Raw genomic sequence first — 22,744 nt, 5'->3', positions numbered from 1 at the left:
ACTTAGTCCTCCAAGGATGCTGTAAGTTGTGGGAAGATGACCAAAGGATTCTAGGCAGATAATTAATAGCTCCTAGTTATATATGCTCAACTAGCTAAGCTGAAGCTAAATCCCTAATTTAACTCTGTTACAGCTGCAAAAACAAATCATTTCAAGCTCCTATGAAAGCAAAATATATTAAACAAACATTATTGACCTTGCTAATACCACATGGCATTTCATATGATAAATGAGGACGTATTTCTGGCAAAGGCCTGTTTTATGGCATCATTTAGACATAAAGGATACCTTTACCCTAGCAATACAAGCATCCTTGATAGAAAGTATGGGGTGGTTAATTACTCATTAAATGGCTGCCAGTCTGGAAGTAAGCAGTATTTCTGGGTTGGACCTAGTTAGTTACTTATTGGCTTCTGGGTAAATCATGTAGAATAGCAATTCTTAAGAAAAAGGGAAATCGAATTTGGGAACTTCTTATGAATGTGAGTCTAGGTAAAGAAAGATCTGTTGGTCTCTAAGTGCCCAGAAGGGTCATTGTGTATTACGCTCTTGAAAAACAAGAAGTTCTAAGGTAGCCAAAATCTGTTTTCATTCCCATGTGAAAAATTGGGGGGTCCTTTAGTAGCCAAAGAGCCAGATCTTCTAAGGAACTGAGAGGTGGAAATAAGGAAATTGACTTTCCTTGATATCTCCAATTATCATCTTTACTACTATTTTCAAATTTGTCTCCCACTTAGAAGTAATAAGGTGAAGATTTATTAGAGTTAGGGAATAGGTATGTAGCTAATTGGGGGAGGAAAAGACAATGAAGGAAAACTCAGATATGACCCTTCCCCAAACATATAAACAACTTGGATACATGAGAAATGTTTAGCGTATTGTTGCCTTCTTATGTTGTATTGTCTAAGTCATTTTCTTATTGAGTGTTTTGGATTGTTGTCTCCCAGAGGAGAAATCCCTAGGTATTTGTGTGCGATAAAGGGCTAAATTTTATTTTTCCAACTTTGAATATAACTGTGGAGGGCTTGCTTATAGTAGAGTCCTTAGGTGAAGTTTTAGTTGGGAGTTTTCAAACCCCTCTTTGTGTGCTACACCCACTCTGACAGGCACCTTGGGATATGCAAATAAGAATGAGGTGCAGGTTGTGCTCTTCAAATACTTATAGAAACACCCAGCCTCCCAAGGCTATGGAGGGCTTGAAGGGAATGAGCTGAAGAATGGGATGGGGTGACCAAGGGTCAAGCCATCATGGCCAGTGGCTTGGAGACCATTAACATCCCTGTCTCTGCTCATGTCAGAGAATCTGTACTAGAGAATTTGAAAGCTAAAGAGCTAAAGTGGCCCCCCACCCCCAACCCCACTTTAAACTTTGTCGTTAGTTCCCACAGAATTTAACTCAGGGAAAATCTCCTTGGCTTTTGCTACCATCTATCAAAGATAAAACTTTCTGTTGTGTGTTCATGCTGTAGTAGGTGCTCTGGGAGATACAAGAGGAAGTGTAGTTGTGGTCTGTAACTCCCAGGACTTTATAGTCTGAGGGCACACAAAAGAAATTGAGGAATACTAGAGAAGTAGGTCAGGTCTGTGCTATATAGCACTTAGTGTTCAGGAAAGCATTTGGCAAAGCCCTCAAAACAATGCACATACTACAATCTCTGTTAACTTGGGTTATCAGAGATTGTAGTATGTGCATTGTTTTGTGAATAATTTGCAGTTTTACTCAAGGATTGTTGTCTAATGGTTCCCTCTCAGTCTAGAAGTTTGTCAGTAAAGGTACACAATAATAATGAGAAGCAGAATAATTTAGTAATTAAGAGCAAGGATTCTGGAGCCAGACTGCTTGGGTTTCTGGTTCTACTCACCAGCTGTGCGACCCTAGGTAAACTACTTAACCTCTCCGTACCTCCACTGTTTGATCAGATGTAAGAAAATAATCACATCTGCCTTATTAGTTTGTAGTGAGAATAAATTGAGTTAAAGGACTTAGAATGCTGCCTGGCACATAGTAAATGTCATATGAGGCTAGCTGTTATTATTAGGTTTGTGCAAAAGTAATTTGCGGTTCTTGCCCTTACTTTTAATGGCAAAAGCCGCTATAACTTTTGCACCAACCTAATGGTATTTGCTCACTTACAACTATAATTACCTGGATAAAGATACTATAGGCATACTTATCAAATTTGCAGCTATCACAAAACTAGTTTGGAGAGCTAATATGCGGAATGACAGAATTGAGATTCTGAAACGTTAAGCTAGAGGATGGATCAAAACAAACAAGATGAGATTTAGTAGGGAGAAATAGTCCTCTATTTATATTCAGAAAATTAACCACAAAGATAGAAGGTAGAGAAAACCTGAGCTAACAGCAGCCCATGTGGGCATACAAATGAGGCAGCCGTGAAGCCAGCATTTGTGTTGCTATGGCTACATGAAAACCATTTACAAGATTGGTGCAGTAGCTCATGTCAATAATCTCAGCATTTTGGGAGGCTGAAGTGGGAGGATTGCCTGAGGCCAGGAGTTTGAGACCAGCCTGAGCAACATAGCAAGACCCTGTCTCCACCAAAAAATAAAAAATAAAAAAAATAGCCCAGCCTGGTGGCTGATGCCTGTAGTAGTCCCAGCTGTGCAGGAGACTGAGGTAAAAGGATTATTTGAGCCCAGGAGTTCCAGGCTGCGGTGAGCTATAATCATGACACTGCACTTCAGCCTGGGTGACAGAGTGAGATCCTGTCTAAAAAAATAAAAATAAAAGAAAGAAAAGGAAAGCTTTTACAAAACAGATCCATAAAGAAGAGGTAATATTCTTGCTGCACTCTGCCCTGGCCAGACCATATCTGGAAACTTCAGTTATGTATGCTGTTCTTTAAGAATACACATCCTAGGCTGGGTGCGGGGTGGCTCACGCCTGTAATCCCAGCACTTTGGGAGGCCGAGGTGGGTGGATCACGAGGTCAGGAGATCGAGACCAGCCCGGCCAACATGGTGAAACCCCATCTCTACTAGACATAAAAAAAAATTAGCCGGGCATGGTGGCAGGCACCTGTAGTCCCAGCTACTCGGGAGGCTGAGGTAGGAGAACCTCTTGAACCCGGGAGGTGGAGGTTGCAGCGAGCCAAGATTGAGCCACTGTACTCCAGCCTGGGCGACAGAGGGAGACTCCGTCTCAAAAAAAAAGAAAAAATACTCATCCACATCTATTGATGTGTGATAGTGAAGGAGCTAAAAACCGTAGCATGCAAATCAATGTAACCTAGAATAGGGAAGACACAAGTATTATCCCCTCATGTTTGAAGGCTGTCACTTAGAGGAGAAAAGAGGGTTACTATGTGTAATCCTGTTGGGCCAAGGTAACAAAAATATGCAGAGTGGATTGTATTTTTTCTTATTTAAGAAAACTTGATGGCCATGGGTGAAAATGAGTAGAATGGCAAGAGGCCTGGAATTTTGACCTTAAGACAAGTCATTTAACTTGTCTGATTTAGAATTTTCTCATCTGCAGGATAGAGATTTATTCATTCAGCCTTTCTGCAAATGTTTATGGAAGCCTTACTATGTGCTAAGCACTATGCTTTCTGCAGAGTGAACAAGGCAATCAGTCTCATTTTGTGTCCTTACAGAATTTGAAAACTGGAAGCCAGACAAATAAATAAGTAATTATAACACACAGTTGAACTCAAAGGTCTTAGACTTTCCTTCCAACTCTTCCACCTCTGTCTGGCATATTTTAGAGGGACTGACTTTGCTCTGTGTGGTTCCTTTTATCTCTCATTTTGTGATCCTTTGAATGTCTATAGAGGGTTAGAGAAAATGAGATTAATGTGGTCCTTCATTTAAACTTTATTTAATAAGTAATACGTTTTTCCTTTGGGGAAGAGAACTTAAACTAGTAGAAATATCAATTGACTAAGGAGACAGGACATGGAAATTCTTTTCCTGGCTCTGATGTCTATCATTAAATAAATTACTTTACTTTTTGCAGTCTTAAGTTTCTAGGCCAGGAAATAATTTTAAATAAAAATAAATGTATAAGAAGAATATGAATACATACTAAAGCAGTAATGCGAGTCTATGGAAGAAGAATGTTATATAATTTGTGTTTTAAACTATTTCATATCCTAAAATTCAAAGAGATTTGATCACTTTATATAAGTAGGCCCTTTGATTTTATAGGATATAAATTTGCTTTTTTGATTTATTCCTGGTATTCTCATCATAGAAGTCACATGTTGGTCTTTGATATGTTTCAGAAGAATAAAATCATTTTGAATTTCAGAAGATATAGATCTTTTGATGGACCTTCCTGAACTTCATAGGCCATAGCTGTGCTGTCGTTTTTTTTTTTTTAAGCCGTTCATTTCTCCTAGTCTTTGTTGCTATACTTTGGTCTGGAAAGTTCTTGTCCCTTTTTGTAGCTTCCTTTTTGGTTAACATTGTTCTCATCATGTGTTCATTTCCGGCGTAACTTCTAAAGAGAGTGTTAATGTACCATTGGATTCCACATTGACTTCAAAGTTTTTATTTACTGACCTTTCACTGGGAGAGAAACTGGTGTAGGTACAGTTTTAAGATAAACTTGGGCAGGTTAAGATTCTCCTTAATTTCTAGCTAAGTTCCTTGAAAAACTAAGCTTTTCATGGACCTAAGAATAAAAGCTACTTGAGAGTTTCTAAAATCTATTATACTCCCTGAAGACAGAAACATACTTAAGTGAAAAACTTGCCATTTTAAAATATATCCACTAGGTAAGGAAATCTAGTAATATAGCAGTACCAACTTATTTCTTGCATTAATATTTTCATCTAATCATTTGTACATTCAGCAAACTTGGACCACACACAGTCCCAGAAATTGAGGTGTGGGGGTAAAGTACAGGTTAATTTTGCAGTAGGATAAATGCCTGTATGTATGGCTATCCATCTTTATACCTTGAAATATGTTAACATAAAAAAGTTTTAATTAAATTACAGTAATAAAAACCCAAAGAGCGTGAAACTCCCTCCCTTTTTTCAGGTGAAAAATGGAGCAAGCCTGAAAAGCAGTGAGATCAGGAGGACAGCTGATGTTTGACCATGTTCGTTATGGTTCTGCATTGTACTTTGTTGAAGACTTCTGGGTGTGAAAAATCTTTTACACCCCTAAAGACTTTTTTTGCAAGACTTTATTGACCGCCTTCCCCTCCACCCCTAATTCTAATGCTCCAGATATAATCGAACATTTCTCCTTTGCAGCCTCCCTCCCTCCACTCTCATGGAATCCTGTCATGGGCCTATGACTTTGCGTTTTACTTTTGTGAGGGCAGGGCCCCAGCACCAGTGTGTCTACCCCAGGATCTCTCAAAGTGTGATTTGAGTATCATTTGCATTAGAATCATGAGTATGATTTGGGTAGGGATGACTGGACCCTTCCCCAGACCTGTTGAAATCAGAATCTCTGGGATTTTTAAACAAGCTTTCCTATTGATTTGAGTGCATACGAAGTTTGAGAAACAATGGTTTAGCCCATAGGAGGTTCTTTTTTTTTTTTTGAGACGGAGTCTCACTCTGTCACCCAGGCTGGAGTGCAGTGGCGTGATCTCAGCTCACTGCAACCTCCGCCTCCTGGGTTCAAGTGATTCTCCTGCCTCAGCCTCCTGAGTAGCTGGGACTACAGGCATGTGCCACCACGCCTGGCTAATTTTTGTATTTTTAGTAGAGACGGGGTTTCACCATATTGGCCAGGCTGGTCTCAAACTCCGGACCTCAGGTGATCTGCCGGCCTCAGCCTCCCAAACTGCTGGGATTATAGGCGTGAGCCACCATGCCCAGCCAGGATGTTCTTAGTGAATGAGTCAACCCATACTTGAGTTTTCTCTAGTTTATATAGGCACATTTCCTTTAACTATTTCTTCTATATATGTTCAATATGTTAGCCATTGGGGTATCAATCTGCTGAAACATCTCCAGGTTTCCATGTTTTCTTTACATTCTGGAAATGTCAATGATGTTCTAACAGGGTCTACCTGGTGGCTAGTATAAAGAAAGGAAGGAGTTAGCCCGAATTCTTTACCTACATTCCAGCTTCCTTTTTAATACATCCTAATATCATGCCTAATTTTTATTTTATACTTGGTAAACATAGTTGGTGTTTGAGTTTTGAGATCTCCTTTACCTCCCTCACTTTATTTGCTGCTGGGTCATCTTTCACCAAGATGACTATAGTGACCTTCTAACCAGTTTTCCTGCTTTCATTCTGACTTTTTCTAAATCTTGTCTCAACTGCAGCAAGCGTGATCTTATTAAAATTCAGATTGACCCCTGATAGTCTTCTCTTTACAATTCTTCAGTGTCTTCCCACTTCTTTTGGAATGAAGACCAGCATCCTTAATGACCCTGCCCACCTCCTCAGTTTCAACTCTGGCCTTCTTGCCACTTTCTCCCTTACACACTGTTCCAGCCACACTGGCTTTCTTCTGTTCCTCAGATGCACCACTTTCTGCTCACCCACCTTAGAGCCTTTGCATATGCAGTTGCTTCCTCAGAGTATTGCCATCCCCAGCACGACCCCCAGCTCATTCTTCAGGCCACTAACGTAAATGTTACTTTCTCAAAAACACCCTCTCCATCCCGGCACACTGACTTAGGACCTATCAGATTCTCTCCACTGTAATGCTTGAACTGCCATCCCAACACCCACCATTAGGTTTCCTACTTTCACCATCTTTTCTAGGAATCCAAGGTTGGAGTCATCTGTAGATACAGTTAACATGTTCCCTATTTAGCAAACCAATTATAATCTTGCAAGTTTCCGGGCACGTCTTTTTTTTTTTTTTTTTAATTTTTGACTATAGGACCTCTTAGAGCCTTTATTCTACTAATGTGAGAGAAAAGTATACAACATTTCCTAACTTACTTAACCATAATACCCTCTCTGCAGGACTGGGTTCCTCAGATATAAGGTACAATCCCCTGCTCTGGGCACTGCACTGTCAGTTTATTTGCACGGTTTATTTGCACATAATCTGTTTCAACTCCAATTAGATACTGCAATACAGTTCTGTCACTGACCACCCGGAATTAGCACAGACCTCACAAATTAAAGGCTCAGCCCTCTACAAGACTGCTCCCACTTCAGATGCCAGTGCAAGTTCAGGGGGTTCCCAGGCCACCTGCACAGTGACTGACTGGCTACAAATTTGAGGGTTCCTACCCCGCCTCAGGTTTGATAATTTGTTAGAACAACTCATAGAACTCAGGAAAATGCTATACATACAATTGCAGTTTTATTATAAACGATAAAAACCAGGAACAGCCAAATGAAGAGACTAGAAGGTAAGGTGTGGGAGGGCCATAAATGCAGCACTTCTGTGCCCTCTGTCTGTGGAATCAGGCTGCATCACCTTCCCATCAAATTGTTATGATCATCAATGAGGAAGCTCCTCTGAGCTTCAGTGTCCTGAGTTTTTACTGGGGCTTCATTATGTAGGTATGATGGATTGAATCATTGGCCATGCAACTGAACTTAATATCCAGCCTCCTTCCCCTTCCTGGAGGTCAGGCTGGCTCAAAGTCCCAACCCTCTAATCATGTGGTTGGTCTTTCTGTTGACCACCCCCCATTCTGAGGCTATTTAGTGGCCCACTATGACTCACCATTAGCATAAACTCAGGTGTGATCTTAGGGGCTCGTGAATAACAAAGATATTCATATCACTTGGGGAAATTCCAAGGGTTTTAGAAGCTCCCTGCCAGAGATCAGGGACAAAGACTAGACAAATTGTTATACAGTAGCCCAGGACATTGAATGGACATTTCCACAGCAAAAATGGAACCTGGATGAAAGGAGGATGAATGATGTGTGTAATTTCCCCCCACAGAATGAGGAAGCTTTGGCCTACTTGCCCTGTTCCCTCATTTCCAGTCAGCTACTTCCAACACTGACAGCATCCACCTGGGGAAGGGAGATTTCTGGTGATATCTTTTTGGGTGCTTCTGGGACCAAGCAGACGAGAAACTGACCAGCTCTGGACTGCTCAGCTTGTCTGCAGCCCTCTCAGAGCCGCAACTCAGAGTGGTGGGACGATGGGCAAGCACACTCAGTGACTCTGTGATCTCCACTATCTAACCCAGATATCCTTCTTAAATCTTGGCTAAAAATAGAAGGTGTTTCTTTCTTAAATGGATATAAAAGCAACCACAGAATTGATTTTATTTATTACCTTTAACTGAAAAAAAATGTCGTACTTACCATATACCACTTCCAGAAGGAAACTAGGATTCTAAAACCTAAGACATATGGGTTTGTATCAATTTCCAAAAGATTGAAAAATCACATTCTAACTAGGTATATATCAGTGTACCAAGGACTGTGCCTTACCCATATTTTTTCTATAAAGGAAGTAAATCATGTAGGGCTGAACCAAAAACTTTGCTGAAAATTGCTTCTCTTTTAAATCAGCAGACTTGTACCTCTGACACAGAGGATTGACTTAGTTTGAGTCTTGGTCTCCTTCTCCATCTTCATCAATAAAGATGTTTTTCTTGAGCCCCAGACCAGACAAAATAATAGACACACATGATGTGGTGGCTGGGAGGCATCCACACTCAGTGGGATAAGTAATAAATTAGGAGCACAAGAGCTTGGTCTTCTGTTTATAGTCCTGCCACTGATTTATTATATGGCCCCGAGCCAGCCTTTTCACAGTCTTGTGGGTCAGCCTCTTCAACACTATTTTGAGGGAAGATTAAACTGTCTTGACTATGTACAATTCAAATGTTAGAAAATATCAGTTGAACCAAAAGTGACATATCCTAATTCAGTAATTAGTACATCACTGCAATTTTTTCCCCCAGAAACTACAGGGAGGCTCCCCAAATGATCTCTTAGATAAAGAGAAGTCGTCTTATGGCCTCATAATGGATGGAAAACCTTTGGGAAAATGATGTTTCTCATCCATTGTTAGGCTAGGGAGTTTTAACTTGAGTAAAAGTTTCCTGATAATGCTAAAGGTTTCCAGGCAGCCCCTTTAGCCCGACTCTCCTGTGTGATCTTCATCTCTCAATAATGTCACCCACCAACATGCATCTGAGTGCCTTTCCCTTTCCTCTCCACTCCCATTATTAGATGCTGTCTGTGTGGGCCACCATCCTTGCAGGAGTTTTACAGGGTTAATAAATGAATAATACCTCTTCTTTCTTATGCCAAGAGGCAGGAAGATGGGGATTAAAATATCACATATATTGCTTCCAGATCACATTTATTATTATAGAGTGGACCCCTAAATTAGATGGACTTACTCACCTGGCCACAGCTGGAGTCCTGAAGGGCATGATGTCCTCTTACCACAGCAGACAGAAACCTGCTTCCTGAAGGCTGTGATGTCCTCTTATCACAGCAGACAGAAACCTGCTTCCTGAAGGCCATGATGTCCTCTTACCACAGCAGACAGAAATCTGCTTCCTGAAGGCCATCATGTCCTCTTATCATAGCAGACAGAAACCTGCTTCCTGAAGGCCAAGCTGAGCATGCCCGGGTCCTTCTTCTTAACTCAGCAGTCAGATACCTAATTTCCCCCATCTGTGAGGAGGGCTGGATAAGGGATGGGGAGAGAAGCTAGGAATATCACTCTAGGGAATTCCCCAGAAGCAGGAGTTCCAGATAATAGGAGTTTTCCACTTGTGTCTTACCTAGTAAGTCTAAATAACCTGATACAAATAGCTTATTGCAAATACTAAATGTATAGTTAAAAGATTAGCTTTGGAGGTAGTCACAAACATGTGCTTCTAAAAAGATAGAAAAGCCTGGAAAGAAGGTGAAAGGGAAAAGAATAAAGGAAGAGAAAATACACCAAGACAGTCCCTAAATCTTGTACAACATAAATAATTTGGTTGGGGTGAAAACGAAGAAATTCAAGCATGGATTTAAAGGAAGCTGATGAAAGTAATCTTTTTCACTTTGAGACTGTTCCTAGCACTACTCGGATCCACTCTTATGACTTTAATTTTATCAAATTGTTATCATTACCAAAATGGCTCAAGTAGAATTACTCTAAGAAATGCTGTCAGGGTTTTTTAGGAGGTTTTAGCAAAGGAGAGGACAGGTTTTGTTTTCAGGATACTGTAAAGTTCAAAGAGATGAGACTCTCCTAAAATATGAGGAAAGAGAAGCAGGCATTAGGAATGGGGAGTGGCATGAAAGAGAAGTCAGAGGGGACCCTGGTAGGACACTGTATGTGATAGAAGCTACAGAGTGGAGGAGACTGATGTAAGAAGCGACTTCTAAATAAATCCAAGCTGGGAGAAAATGTTAGTTCCAGAAACAGTAAGAAAAGACAGGTTGCTTTTCAGGTAACCCCCCAAAATAATCTGAACCTCTAAGCCAATAGGAGGTTCTTGGCCTTTTGAAGCAATCATAAAAGAGAGATGTAACTGGGGAATCACAAAAAGAGAGTTAGTAGTGGTTTAATATAATGCTAAATACCAGGGGAAATCACTGTAGAAAATGTTAAGTGCAGCATACATTGGATTCTCTGTGAGGCAAAAGTGTTCAGAACAGGACTGGGACTAGGGTAAGGTGAGAGAGGCATGTGCTTTGGGTACAGAATTTAAGGAAGTGCTGAAAAACCCTTTGTAATAAAGATTTTAAAAATATGTTAATATGATATTCTTTAAAAATCAAAATTAATGTAAAAAGTCCATGATGAACAAAATATAAAAGCTTAACTAGAGACAGGATTAGAATTCCTGATTTCTCCTTTTGTCTCGGGTTCTAATATGGCTTGGCACTGGTTCAGAGAAACATTCCAGTAAGATAGTTTATTTTATTTTATTATTATTATTATTATTTTTGAGATGGAGTCTCACTCACTCTGTTGCCCAGGCTGAAGTGCAGTGGTGCAATCTCAGCTCACTGCAGCCTCTGCCTCATGGGCTCAAACGATTTTCCTGCCTCAGCCTCCCAAGTGGCTGGGATTATAGGCGTGTGCCACCATGCCTGGCTAATTTTTGTATTTTTAGTAGAGACGGGATTTCATCATGTTGGTCAGGCTGCTGTCGAACTCCGGACCTTAGGTGGTCCGCCCACCTCGGCCTCCCAAAGTGCTGGGATTATAGGCGTGAGCCACCACATCCAGTCAAGAGTTTATTTAATTAGACATCTTCCCCTGAAGCTCTCAGTGCTTCAAGTAGCCCAGCCCAGCATTTGTCTTGTTTCAAGGATGGTGAGATTGACCTTCCTTTCCTGTCTGAGATTGCAGGAGAATATATAGAGAATCCTGGTAGCCCCATGTTGAAAATAGAACTGATAGAGAAAGAGGGAGGTCAACTATGACAAGAAGCATTCTTTCCATCCACCACTACCAGCTTTCATGTCTGAAATCATCAGCTCAGCTGAGCCCTGTTTATGCACTTGTTTTTCAAGTAAGAGTTCTTGGTGAGCAGTGTTTCACCAAGATTAATTTGTGAAGAAAAGAGCCAAGCTTGGAGCAGATGTTACTAGCAGGTAGTCTAGTAGATGATGGTGCCTCTTTTTCATGACACTAATTTAACCTACCAGCATAAATAATTTTTTAAGGTAAGAAAGTAGAACTGGTGAAAGGGCTTTTCCTCCTTCCCGTAATAGATGGTATATCCATTGCTAGCAGAGAAAAGTGATTAAGTAAGATCAGCATATTCATCTCTTATTTTGCCCTCCTGTCTTTCTGTTGTCATAGGGTTTTTCCAACAGTGGCGTTATTGACATATTAGGCCAGATACCTCTTTGTTGTGGAGGGATGTCTTGTGCATTGTAGGATGGTTAGCAATGTTCCTTGCCTTCATCCTTAAGATATCAGTAGCTTACCCACCCATCCTACCAAAAATGTCTGCAGACATTACAAATATCCCCTGTTGGGACAACAATCTCCCTTGGTTGAGAATCGCTGTGCTACCAAAGGTCAAGGCCTACAATGATGTCTTCTTTTCTTCATCTAGCTTTTTCTCACTTCTTTATAAATTAATTAATGTCTTCTGCTGAAATAGATGTTGATTATTTCATACCACATACTTTTTTTTTGTTTTGTTTTTTGAGACAGAGTCTCGCTCTGTCACCTAGGCTGGAGTGCAATGGCACATTCTTGGCTCACTGCAACCTCCGTCTCCTGGGTTCAAGCAATTCTCCTGCCTCAGCCTCCCAAACAGCTGAGATTACAGGCTCCTGCCACCACACCCAACTAATTTTTAGTATTTTTAGTAGAGACAAAGTTTTGCCATGTTGGCCAGGCTGGTCTTGAACTCCTGATCTAATGATCCACCCGCCTCGGCCTCCCAAAGTGCTGGGATTACAGGCGTGAGCCACCGCGCCCAGCCACCACATAATGTTTTATAATCTAAGACCTCTGCATCTTACGTAAATTTAAGTGAAAGTAGTAGGTTATAAAAATAGGACCTTCACCAACCATCATTTGATATCAAGTATATCAAATGCTTTCAGTAGCAACTAACAGAATATACAATTCAAACTGATTTTTACAATAAGGGGGATTATTCTTAATCACCTGAGCTTTAAGCATCAGTAGATCTGGTAGCTCAAATTTTTTGAACTATGTTTTTTGGATTAAATGCTTCAAATAGCATTTTCTCCCCCAAACCACCTGCTCCTTCTAATTGATGGATTTCTCACATGAGTCACAGGCTTGAAACATCATGAGCATCTTTAACAGTCCCTTTGCATGCCCCCAACGTCTGTCAGTTGCCAGATCATCTGCATTTTGTCCCCATGCTATCTCCTTCTCTTTCTTTCTTCCTGTTTCCAAGACCACCACCTAATCAAGTCAAACTGGTGCAGTAACTTATCAACTAGTTCCCTCCCCTTCCAGCTTTTCTTGCTAATTAATCTTTTCAAAGCGTACATTGCAGCTGGGCATGGTAGCTCATGCCTGTAATTCCAGCACTTTGGGAGGCCAGGGCGGGAGGATAGCTTAAGGAAAGGAGTTCAACACCAGCCTTGCACAACATAGCAAGACCCCTGGGTCTCTGCAAAAAAAAAAAAAAAAAAAAAAAAAAAATTTTAATCAGCCAGGTGTGGTGGCATGCACCTGTAACCTTTGATACCCAGGAGGCTGAGGTGGGAGGATCACTTGAGCCCAGGGGGTTGAGGCTGCAATGAGCCATGATTGTACTACTGTACTCCAGGCTGGGTGACAGAGTAAAACCTTGTCTCCAAAATTTAAAAAAAAAAATTTTTTTTTTAAGTTTACTTTGCTACTCTGCTTCAAACTCTGGTTGTTCCTATATCTTTTTTTATTTTTTTTGAGATGGAGTCTCATACCGTTGCCCAAGCTGGAGTGCAATGGTTCAATCTTGGCTCACTGCAACCTCCGCCTCCTGGGTTCAGGTGATTCTCCTGCCTCAGCCTCCCAAGCAGCTGGGACTACAGGCACCCACCACCACGCCCGGCTAATTTTTTTTTGTGTGTATTTGTAGTATAGATGGGGTTTCACCATGTTGGCCAGGCTGGTCTCAAACTCCTGACCTCGTGATCTGCCTGCCTTAGCCTCCCAAAGTGCTATATCTTATTAATTAGGACTTCTCACTCTGAGCACTCAGGATTCTTATGTTCTAGCTTCACTTTATCATTCCAAGCTCTTTTCTTCATACTCCTCTATTTACAATGAGCCTCAGACAACTAGAATATCCAGTGTTTCCAAAGGTGCTTCCATTTTTCTGACTTGAGCCTTTATGAATGAACGTTCCTTTTCCAAAATCTCTTCTCTTCTTCAAGACCCAGCTCAAATGCCCCTGTGTCGACACAGCCTTCCTCGATCTCCACAATAGTGATTGCTTCCTCCTTTCCTCATCTCTTATCTTCTGCTGTTTACTTTATAGATTTGTATTCTTCTTCCCCTCACCCTTCATCTTCAGAGGTGATGCTAATGCCTGTGATGTCCCAGGCTATATTCATTGATGAGCTAAATTATGTTCTTTTATGTAAATTGATTCATAGTTTTTGTCCTTGTTTTGTCATCTGCAGGGGACAGTTTTTCTAATGTCTTACAAAAGGAGATAACTACCTGAAAATGCCACATTGCCACTTTTATTAGGCTCTGCCTTTTAAGCAGCTGTACAACAGTGGACAGAATTACTTTTTCATCTTCTGCCTCAGTTTCTTATTCTGTAAAATGGGCATAATACCTACCTCATAGAATTGGTATGAGGATTAAATGAACAGAGACATACACATGTATTTACATATGTTCGTTTGTGTGTATGTAAAGTAGTTATGACAGTGCCTGGCTTATAGTAAGCCTGTCTTACATAAGGTGTTTGCTTATAATGTGTTTATCCATTTGCTTAGTTCTTATTTATTTATTTTTATTTTTAAATTGCTTACCATTTTCTTGAAAGACTTTGGGGAAAGAACATAGAAGTAAATGAGAAAGTCTAGTCATAGACTGTTAGGAAAAAAACAGGATGAAAAAAATACTAAGTTTAGACTGATTTCAATATACTAGAAGCTGAATTTGTAAGATTTTATTATTAATATTAAACTTATCTTACACCAATAAAAGCACTATTGAAGCATCTTATCCTAAGAAAAATTAAAAGTAACTCAACAACTCAAGTCATGTCTTCGGAAGTGAAAATCTGTATTACAGATCATTATACTTACAACTTTTGGGGTAGATATTTCATAGAAAGCAGTCAGATTCTCTAAAATGGTGTACATATTTACTTACGTGCTTTAGCAAAAATCAAGATTTATTGCCTTTCAAGATAAATTTTGACTAAATATTGACTTTAGGTTCTCAATCATTGTTTACCTGAAAGACCAATAAATCTTGACACTTCTCAACTTGAGTTGGAATCTACTTGGTATTTATTAATTTATTTCACACGATTTATAATCTTAATAACAACATTCCATGAGATTAAATAAACATTGTAGAGTTTAGCAAGTTTATATTTTCAGTCAGCAGTAATTACTTGACATGTGATTTTCACTTCATTTCTTATTTAAATATAGTACCTCTAGCACTGTTAACACAACGTAGGTCCTACATGTCAAAGCTGACTTAGCTATTTAAATATTCAGAGGGGGAAAACCCAAATAACTCTTAATAGCTTATAGAATTGCTTTACATTTTAAACCAATTAGTATTCAGATTGGAGTTTCTAATCTGAATTGATTTTATTTTTTTGGTTGCCTTAGTTCTGCAAGTATAATCTACTAATACATGATTATACGTCATAGATGGCCTCTGTCTTGGACAGTTTATGTCTGTTGGTTTTGATCTCTGTTTCATGCATCTGTCTGTTCTTGTCTCTCTCTCTAGATATAATGTGTATTGAACATTCACTGTGTCTCAGCACAGTACTAATACTTTACAAACATAATATTTGCCATATTGTTGTGTTGACAGGGTTTTTAGAGACAGGGTCTCGTTCTGTCACTTAGGTTGGTGTGCAGTGGTACAATAATAGCTCATTGAACCCTCGAACTCCTGGGCTCAAGGTATTCTCCTGCCTCAGCCTCCAAAGTAGCTGGGATTGCAGGTGCAGACCACCACACCTGGCTAATTTTTTAGAAATTTTTGGAAAAAATGGGGCCTCACTCTATTGCCCAAGCTGGAGTGCCATGGTGCGATCATAGCTCTCTATAACCTCGAACTCCTGGCCACAAGCAATCCTCCCATCTTGGTCTCCAAAAGTACTGGGATTACAGGTGTGAGCCACCAGTGCCTGGCTGGAAATTCTTTGGTTAGGTACATTCAGTGTGTCTAGGAGGAGTTACTTACTTCTATGAGATTCTTAAGGACAGAGCTGTCCTAGCTATAGCAGTAGTCCATTCTACAAGTGCCAGCTGAAGTTAACCTAAATGTGTGTCACCCATGGTAGGAACATGGTTTTTAACATGTCAGCTCTCTGTGCAGTGGAACTTTATTCTTTTTTTTTTTTTTTTGTAGACAGAGTCTTGCTTTGTGGCCCAGGCTGGAGTACAGTGGCACAATCTCAGCTCACTGCAGCCTCTGCCTCCCAGGTTCCAGCAATTCTCCTGCCCCAGGAAAAGCAGGGATTACAGGCATGTAGCTGGGATTACAGGCATGTGCCATCACACCCAGCTAATTTTTGTGTTTTTAGTAGGGGTTTCACCATGCTGTTTTTAGTAGAGGTTTCACCATGTTGGCTAGGCTGGTCTCAAACTCCTGACCCCAAGAGATCTGTCCACCTCAGCCTCCCAAAGGATTATAGGCATGAGCCACCACACCCGGCTTGTGCAGCGGAAATTTATGAGTCAGTTTCAGCCAACAAGGAATGACAATTTCTCATATATAATCTCTCACTGCTATAAAATTTGTAGATGAACATAAAACGAAGCCCATCAGAAAAAAAAAATTCTGATGAACAGAAATGAATTTTTGTGTAGCTTTGGAAACAACCATCAGTACATTTCAGGATTGTATTTGAGCATGTGTATTTCCTCCCAACTGTGAAGTTTTCAACTCCTGGGAAGAGAATTCACTATGAAGGGACTTAAAGGCTTATGGAGAAAATAATTTTGAAGTGTTGCAGTCTAAAGTCCATGAACTCAACCCAAAGACTATCAGCTGCATGCCATACTATCCGCATTAGCAATTACACGTGGCACGCAATTGATTTTTTCCGGATTTCCCCTATTGTTCCTTTAGTTTTATTTGAGATGCTGTGGATACTATTTGCTTTGTAACCGACAGAACGTATACTTAATGGCATGTGCCTGATTCTCCATCCAAATGTTTAATGTCTTAATTGATTTATGGCTAAACAGATAGCTCCTACTTTATGGGTCACCACCTTGTCCCAAAGACAGAATAACTTGGATGCTTGGGATGCAAAAAGTATTGGATCACTGATTTTTGAGTAGATGTTTCTCAGTGTCCCTCACTCTTTACCCCCTTTCTACTTTACAGTTATGTAGAATTCTATAGCTTCAGTTTCACCATGTTAACTTCAGACTACATATGTGTGGTCAGTCTCAAATTTCAGCTCTGTTCCCTCTGACAGTGGAGGATGCAAATATGGGGCCCAGGTTTGCTTTGCCTCTACTTCCTTTAATGGACCTCAAAGCTACATTGCAAAAATTGCTTGTGCCCTGTGTCAAATAATCCTTTCTTTAAACACTGTGCCCAACTTTGTGCTAATCCCAGGGAGGACTTTGAATTGTATACCAAATGTAATACCTTATTTTTTAAAGTACAGGTTCAAAATTTCACTACTTAATGAGCCAATGGTTAGAGACTATAAGCTAGGAAAGCTAAGTTATTTATGACTTTAACCCCTAATCCTTGTAAAATAGCAAGTCCTTGAACCTGCATGTCTATTTTTCTTCATTTTGGGAAATCTGGTCTGAAGAGCATATGATCAAAGTCTAGGCCTTCAAGCAACATTTTACACAGTGCTTACTGCAGCTCACTGTCCCCAGCCAGGAAAATGGAGGGATGGAAGGAGGGACAGGGAAGTCCCCTTGCTCATTCCTGTGGACATCTCTCCCTACTTAGTGCATAAAATAAAAGAGGATGTGAAACTCGCCAGATATTTTTTTCTATTTTTACAGAGAAAACGACAATGTGTCTTCTCACCCTCTTTATCTCTTTTCCTTCCTTTTACAAAGGCACCTTCTTTTCTTTTTTATTTGCCCTTGTTCTTTTCCTAGAGCGTTTCTACCTTCTAAATGCAAAAGACTGGATTTACCTTACTGAATTAGGTAAAAGCTTACTTTAAGAGATGGAAAGTGGGTGGCATAACTGACCACACTTAGCACTGTATGAGGTCCTTCCTTAGTGAGAGAGATTCAGTTGGATCCAGCCACAGCTTTCTCATTCTTCCCTCTTAGCCCATGAGTTTTCCAACTGCTGGTCAGGGAAAGGAGAACTGAAGGTAATAGTCGTAAAGTAGAGAGAAAGTGGCTGGCTCTTCCTCAAGATCGCAGCTTCAGTAACAACAACTGCAGCCAGTTGAGTTAACTAGGTACACTTGTTAGAAGAAAGATGGTGCTTTTGTGGAGAAGTATGCCAAAATTCTGCACAACCCCCAGCAACAGATTCTTTTGGGTGTATTTAGTGAAAGGCCATTTGGGAAATGGACTGTACGTGCAGCAAATAGGATTTTGGTTAAATGGTGACATTTGTTTCCAAGAGTGTATCAGAGGGGAGGCTAAGCTCTTCAGAGCATGTGTTCATTAAAGATTTGAAGTGGAGTGGGAAGCAATAATAAAAAAAAGGCCAGTGGGTTCTCTGGTGAGATAGTTTTTTGTTCCTATGAATTGAATACACTCTGAAAAGTTTCAAAAAGAGTCTGGGAAGAATGTATTTGCTTTGATCCAACATGTGGAGTGTTCTTTACTACAAATGCCCTTTAATTTAGAAACATTGCTGAAAAGTCTGTTTGAAAGTACATAAAAATATAATATGTAAATAAGCCCTAATTAGTTATTTCAATTAATTATTTTTTGTCTCTACTTTACAGCTCTATTTTTCTTCCCATAATGTCGCTTTTCAGAGTCCAGCTTTGACACTCTCTAAAAAAATGGTTTTTTGTAACAGTGATTATTAAGAAAAAATTTTCCCTGTTAAAAACCCCACAATGATAAAGTAAAATCCCAGATTGTGTATTTTTATGGGGAATTGTTTCAGACATTTTTAGTCCATGATTTGCTACTCTGATAGTAAAGGAAATCTTGCAGTTAATTGAAAAAACTCGTGTTTCCTTCTTCAAATAAATGGCATGTGTTGTTTTTTAGAAAATGAATCTACATCAGGCCACTAACTAGCCTCTAATCTTCTTTTCCAACCATTCTGTGTTCTTTCAAATACAAATACTTTGGATTTGGGGGTTAAACGTTTTCATTCTTTTTAAAGTGAATAGGATACTCCCAGTGGAGACAAGAATGCTCTGGAAAAACACTGGTAAAATGAAGTCAGGTTGTTTCTACATAGCCAGTTTTTTAGAAATTGACTAAGTACCTAAAATATTGATTTTTTTGAAGCCTAGAGGGTAAACTGTGTGACAAATTCTGAGCTTTTCACTGAGCAGTCTGCACCCCCTCTGCACTTTTGTTGAATAGAAGCAGAATTTTAGAGCTCGAGGGACCTTGGAGGTCACCTAGAAATCAGGGAGCAATCCTCAGCTTTTACCCGTCAACGTCCCGCGTGTGGGTTGGGGATAGGATGGGAGGGGGAGGATGCTCATTTCATTAGAAATGCAGATTTCTGGTCCCTACCCAAGATCTACAGAGTCAAAATCATCTCAGTGGGAAGAAGGGTCCATATTTCTCACAAACGTCTGCAGAAAATTCCATTGCTCACTCAAATTTGGCAATTCACCAATTAAAGCTAACACGTTTATTTTGTGGTGAGGAAGCAAGGCCTAGATAATTTGATGGTCAGGGTCACAGTGGTGCCTAGGCAAGAACAGACTCAGGCTTCCTGCCTTTAGACTAGTGACGGTCTGTATACCATGTGCCTAAAGTAGTTCTGAGCATGCAGACAGGTTCAAACCTACTTCTGGGTCATTAGGGTGATTTCAGCACCAGGAGTAGGATAGCCTGGTTCTAAATAAAGTATGAAAGTAAAGACACCCAAGGACTAAAGGTAGGTGTTTATGTGCTGCTGCTTTTGTCCAAACTAAAACCTGAATGGACCCTATCCATGTTCTCTCATCTCTGTCTTTTATGAGCCTGGAGACCTGTACATAGTTGCGAGGATGTTTAACTCAGTTAGTTAACTGAGTTGATCCCCCAGCATGGTGAGCTTTGGATCTGTGTGCCCGGTTGATGTGAACATTCTTAGGCTATAGGCTTTCTTAAAATGCATGTTTGTGTATGTTAATATTGCCTATGTGTGTTGCATCCAGAAAATTAGAATAAGCTCATTAAAATTATAGACAGATAAATCCAGTAGTGCCTACTAGGGAATATATAAATATCCAGCAAATGCTTACTGATGTCTGTTATATCAAAAAAAATTTTTTTTAGTGTTCTTTGGTGAGAATTTAAACTATAATGATGATCCTGAATTTCTGCAATATCATGGTCACCTTTTAAGTCATTAGGAAGGATTGGATTCTACTCAGTGTCATTTTAGTGTTCAGTCAATTTGTCTACTAATTTTTGGAAATAGCAGTATCCCACTGTCTAGGATATATTAAGTTCCACTGAACTCTGTTCCACAGTTCATTCTTTCTTTCTTTTTAAAAAATTTTTTTCTTTTGAGACAGAGCCTTCCTCTATCACTCAGGCTGGAGTGCAGTGGCATGATCACAGCTCACTGCAGCCTTGACCTCCTAGGTTCAAGTGCTCCTCCCACCTCAGCCTTCCAGTAGCTGGGATTACAGGCCCATGCCACCACACCTCACTAATTTTTTTGTAGAGATGGGGTTTCACCATGTTGCTCAGGCTGGTCTCAAACTCCTGGGCTCAAGCAATCCACCGGCCTTGGCCTCCCAAAGTGCTAGGATTACAAGTGTGAGCTACTATGCCTAGCCAGTTCCATGGTTCCTATGTGAACATGGGTAATATATAGTTCTTAGAATGGGCAACATATTTTAACAGCGATATTAATGAAAGGCTGTTTTCAGAAGCAGGTGATCAGGTTAAGAGGATCAGTTTTGGAATCACTACGGAAAATTAAAATTTCTGTATATATATACAGTTTATGTGAGTGTACATGTGCCAGATAGTACTCAGTTTATCATCCCTTTAACATAAATATTTATTGATTGTCTGCTATTTGTAAAGCTCTGTATTAAGTGCTGAGGATAAAAAAAAGATCTGGACCGGGCATGGTGGCTCACACCTGTAATCCTAGCACTTTGGGAGTCCAAGGCAGGCGGATCACGAGGTCAGGAGTTCAAAACCAGCCTGGCCAACATAGCGAAGCCCCGTCTCTACTGAAAATACAAAAATTTGGCCAGGCGCGGTGGCTCACGCCTGTTATCCCAGCACTTTGGGAGGCCGAGGCGGGCGGATCACGAGGTCAGGAGATCGAGACCATCCTGGCTAACGTGGTGAAACCCCGTCTCTACTAAAAATACAAAAAATTAGCCGGGCGTGGTGGCGGGCGTCTGTAGTCCCAGCTCCTCGGGAGGCTGAGGCAGGAGAATGGCATGAGCGCGGGACGCGGAGGTTGCAGCGAGCCGAAATCGCGCCACCGCACTCCAGCCTGGGTGACAGAGCAAGACTCCATCTCAAAAAAAAAAAAAAACAAAAAAAATAGAAAATACAACAATTAGCTGGGCATGGTGGCACGTGCCTGTAGTCCCAGCTACTCGGGAGGCTGAGGCAGGAGAATCGCTTGAACCCGGAAGGTGGAGTTTGCAGTGAGCTGAGATGGTGCCACTGCACTCCAGCTTGGACAACAGAGTGAGACTCTGTCTCAAAAAAAAAAAAAAAAAAAAAAAAGATCTGAGGAGTTTCTAGTGTGGTCCTGGTTGGACAAGCCCATAAAAAGGCATGATAATTTAAAGAGGCACGCGCTAAATGCCAAATGAGTAATGCAGTCAGTGAGTGCAGTGAACAGCATTCCAACATTCGCAGACAGCCCTGTGACTGTGGCAAGATGTCCTTTGTCAATCAGGAGCTACATGTGTGTTGGTTCTAACTCATCTTTCACACATTTCTCATTCCTTAGCCAGTCTGAAGAACAGGAGCTTGTTATGATTTTTTTTTTGCTGCTCAATAGTAAAGAAATAGCCATTCTAGAAAGGAACTGGATCAAGCTCTGGAAGCCTAATACTAATATATTTACTTATCTTCTTCCCATTTCTCATGTATTTAAAAACAATGAGATCTAATTCTCTTTCTAGAGGATGCACTGGGAAACTGCTTAATTACTGATGCCATTGTATTTGTGATGAAAATGAAAGTTCTGTTGAGTCTTGTGATACTTTCATTCATGGAGTTCATGTGAATCAGAATCTTCTTAGGTTGGTAGTTCGTTAAGTAAATGTATTTGACCTCCTTGTAATGGAAAGGGTTACAACACTGATCATTATATTATTAGTACTAGTAGTAGTTGTCGTAGTTGTAGTAGTAATTGTAGTAGTACTGAAAGAGTAATTCATTTTTGCCCCACTTCATGAAATAGGCTTAGTGCGAGATCTCTTTGATCCATATAGTTCTTGGCACCCAACCATAAAATGGGCCACATGGAAGGATTTCTAAAATGAAAGCTGTAGACCAGAAATGTCAGATTAATGATGCTGTTTGTGTATTCTTGATGACCTGTTCTGGATCTGCCAGGATTTTGTCCTTGGGGATGATTGTGATGGAATTTACATACTCAGTAGAAGGTAGTTCTTCCTATCTAAAGAAAACGAATGGCTTCCCTATGGAAGGGCTATGATTATTACCAGGTTCGCTGACAGTACCAAGACAGCGCTCACAGAGTCATGGACTTTCTTAGATCTGAAAAGGGCATTGTAGGCAACCAGTAATCTTGGGCAAGATTTGTTGAAGTAAAGAGCAGAGAAGAGGGTGCTGTGTAAGGAGAGGTAATACATGTGAATATATGGAGGGTGGAGTAAGCATGCTGTGTTTATTTGGGGAACAATGAGGAGAGTTCTCTGACTGGAATAAAGTGATTACGTTCCCATTGGACAGTAGTGGGAGGGAAAGTTAGAAAAGTGAGATGGAGCCAATCAGAGGCCAAATTCCTTACAATGATTTGGTAAGCAAAGGAAGGCTACATAACAGTTTTGGGGATTATTTTAGCATCCAATTTAGAGCCAAATCCAAACTCTGGCTTTTTTTGACTG

The 22,744-nt window shown here is 40.4% G+C and overlaps 1 protein-coding gene across 8 annotated transcripts in view; it reads left to right on the top strand.

The window, feature by feature from the left end:
* PLEKHM3 (pleckstrin homology domain containing M3) overlaps positions 1-22,744 on the top strand; it is a 204,240-nt gene that overhangs the window by 55,789 nt on the left and 125,707 nt on the right. The window lies entirely within an intron of this gene.

Source organism: Homo sapiens, chromosome 2 (assembly GCF_000001405.40).
Source record: "Homo sapiens chromosome 2, GRCh38.p14 Primary Assembly".
Classification (NCBI taxonomy): Eukaryota; Metazoa; Chordata; class Mammalia; order Primates; family Hominidae; genus Homo; species Homo sapiens.
Note: the sequence above shows the minus strand (reverse complement) of the source record. Positions and strands in the feature narration are given on the sequence as shown.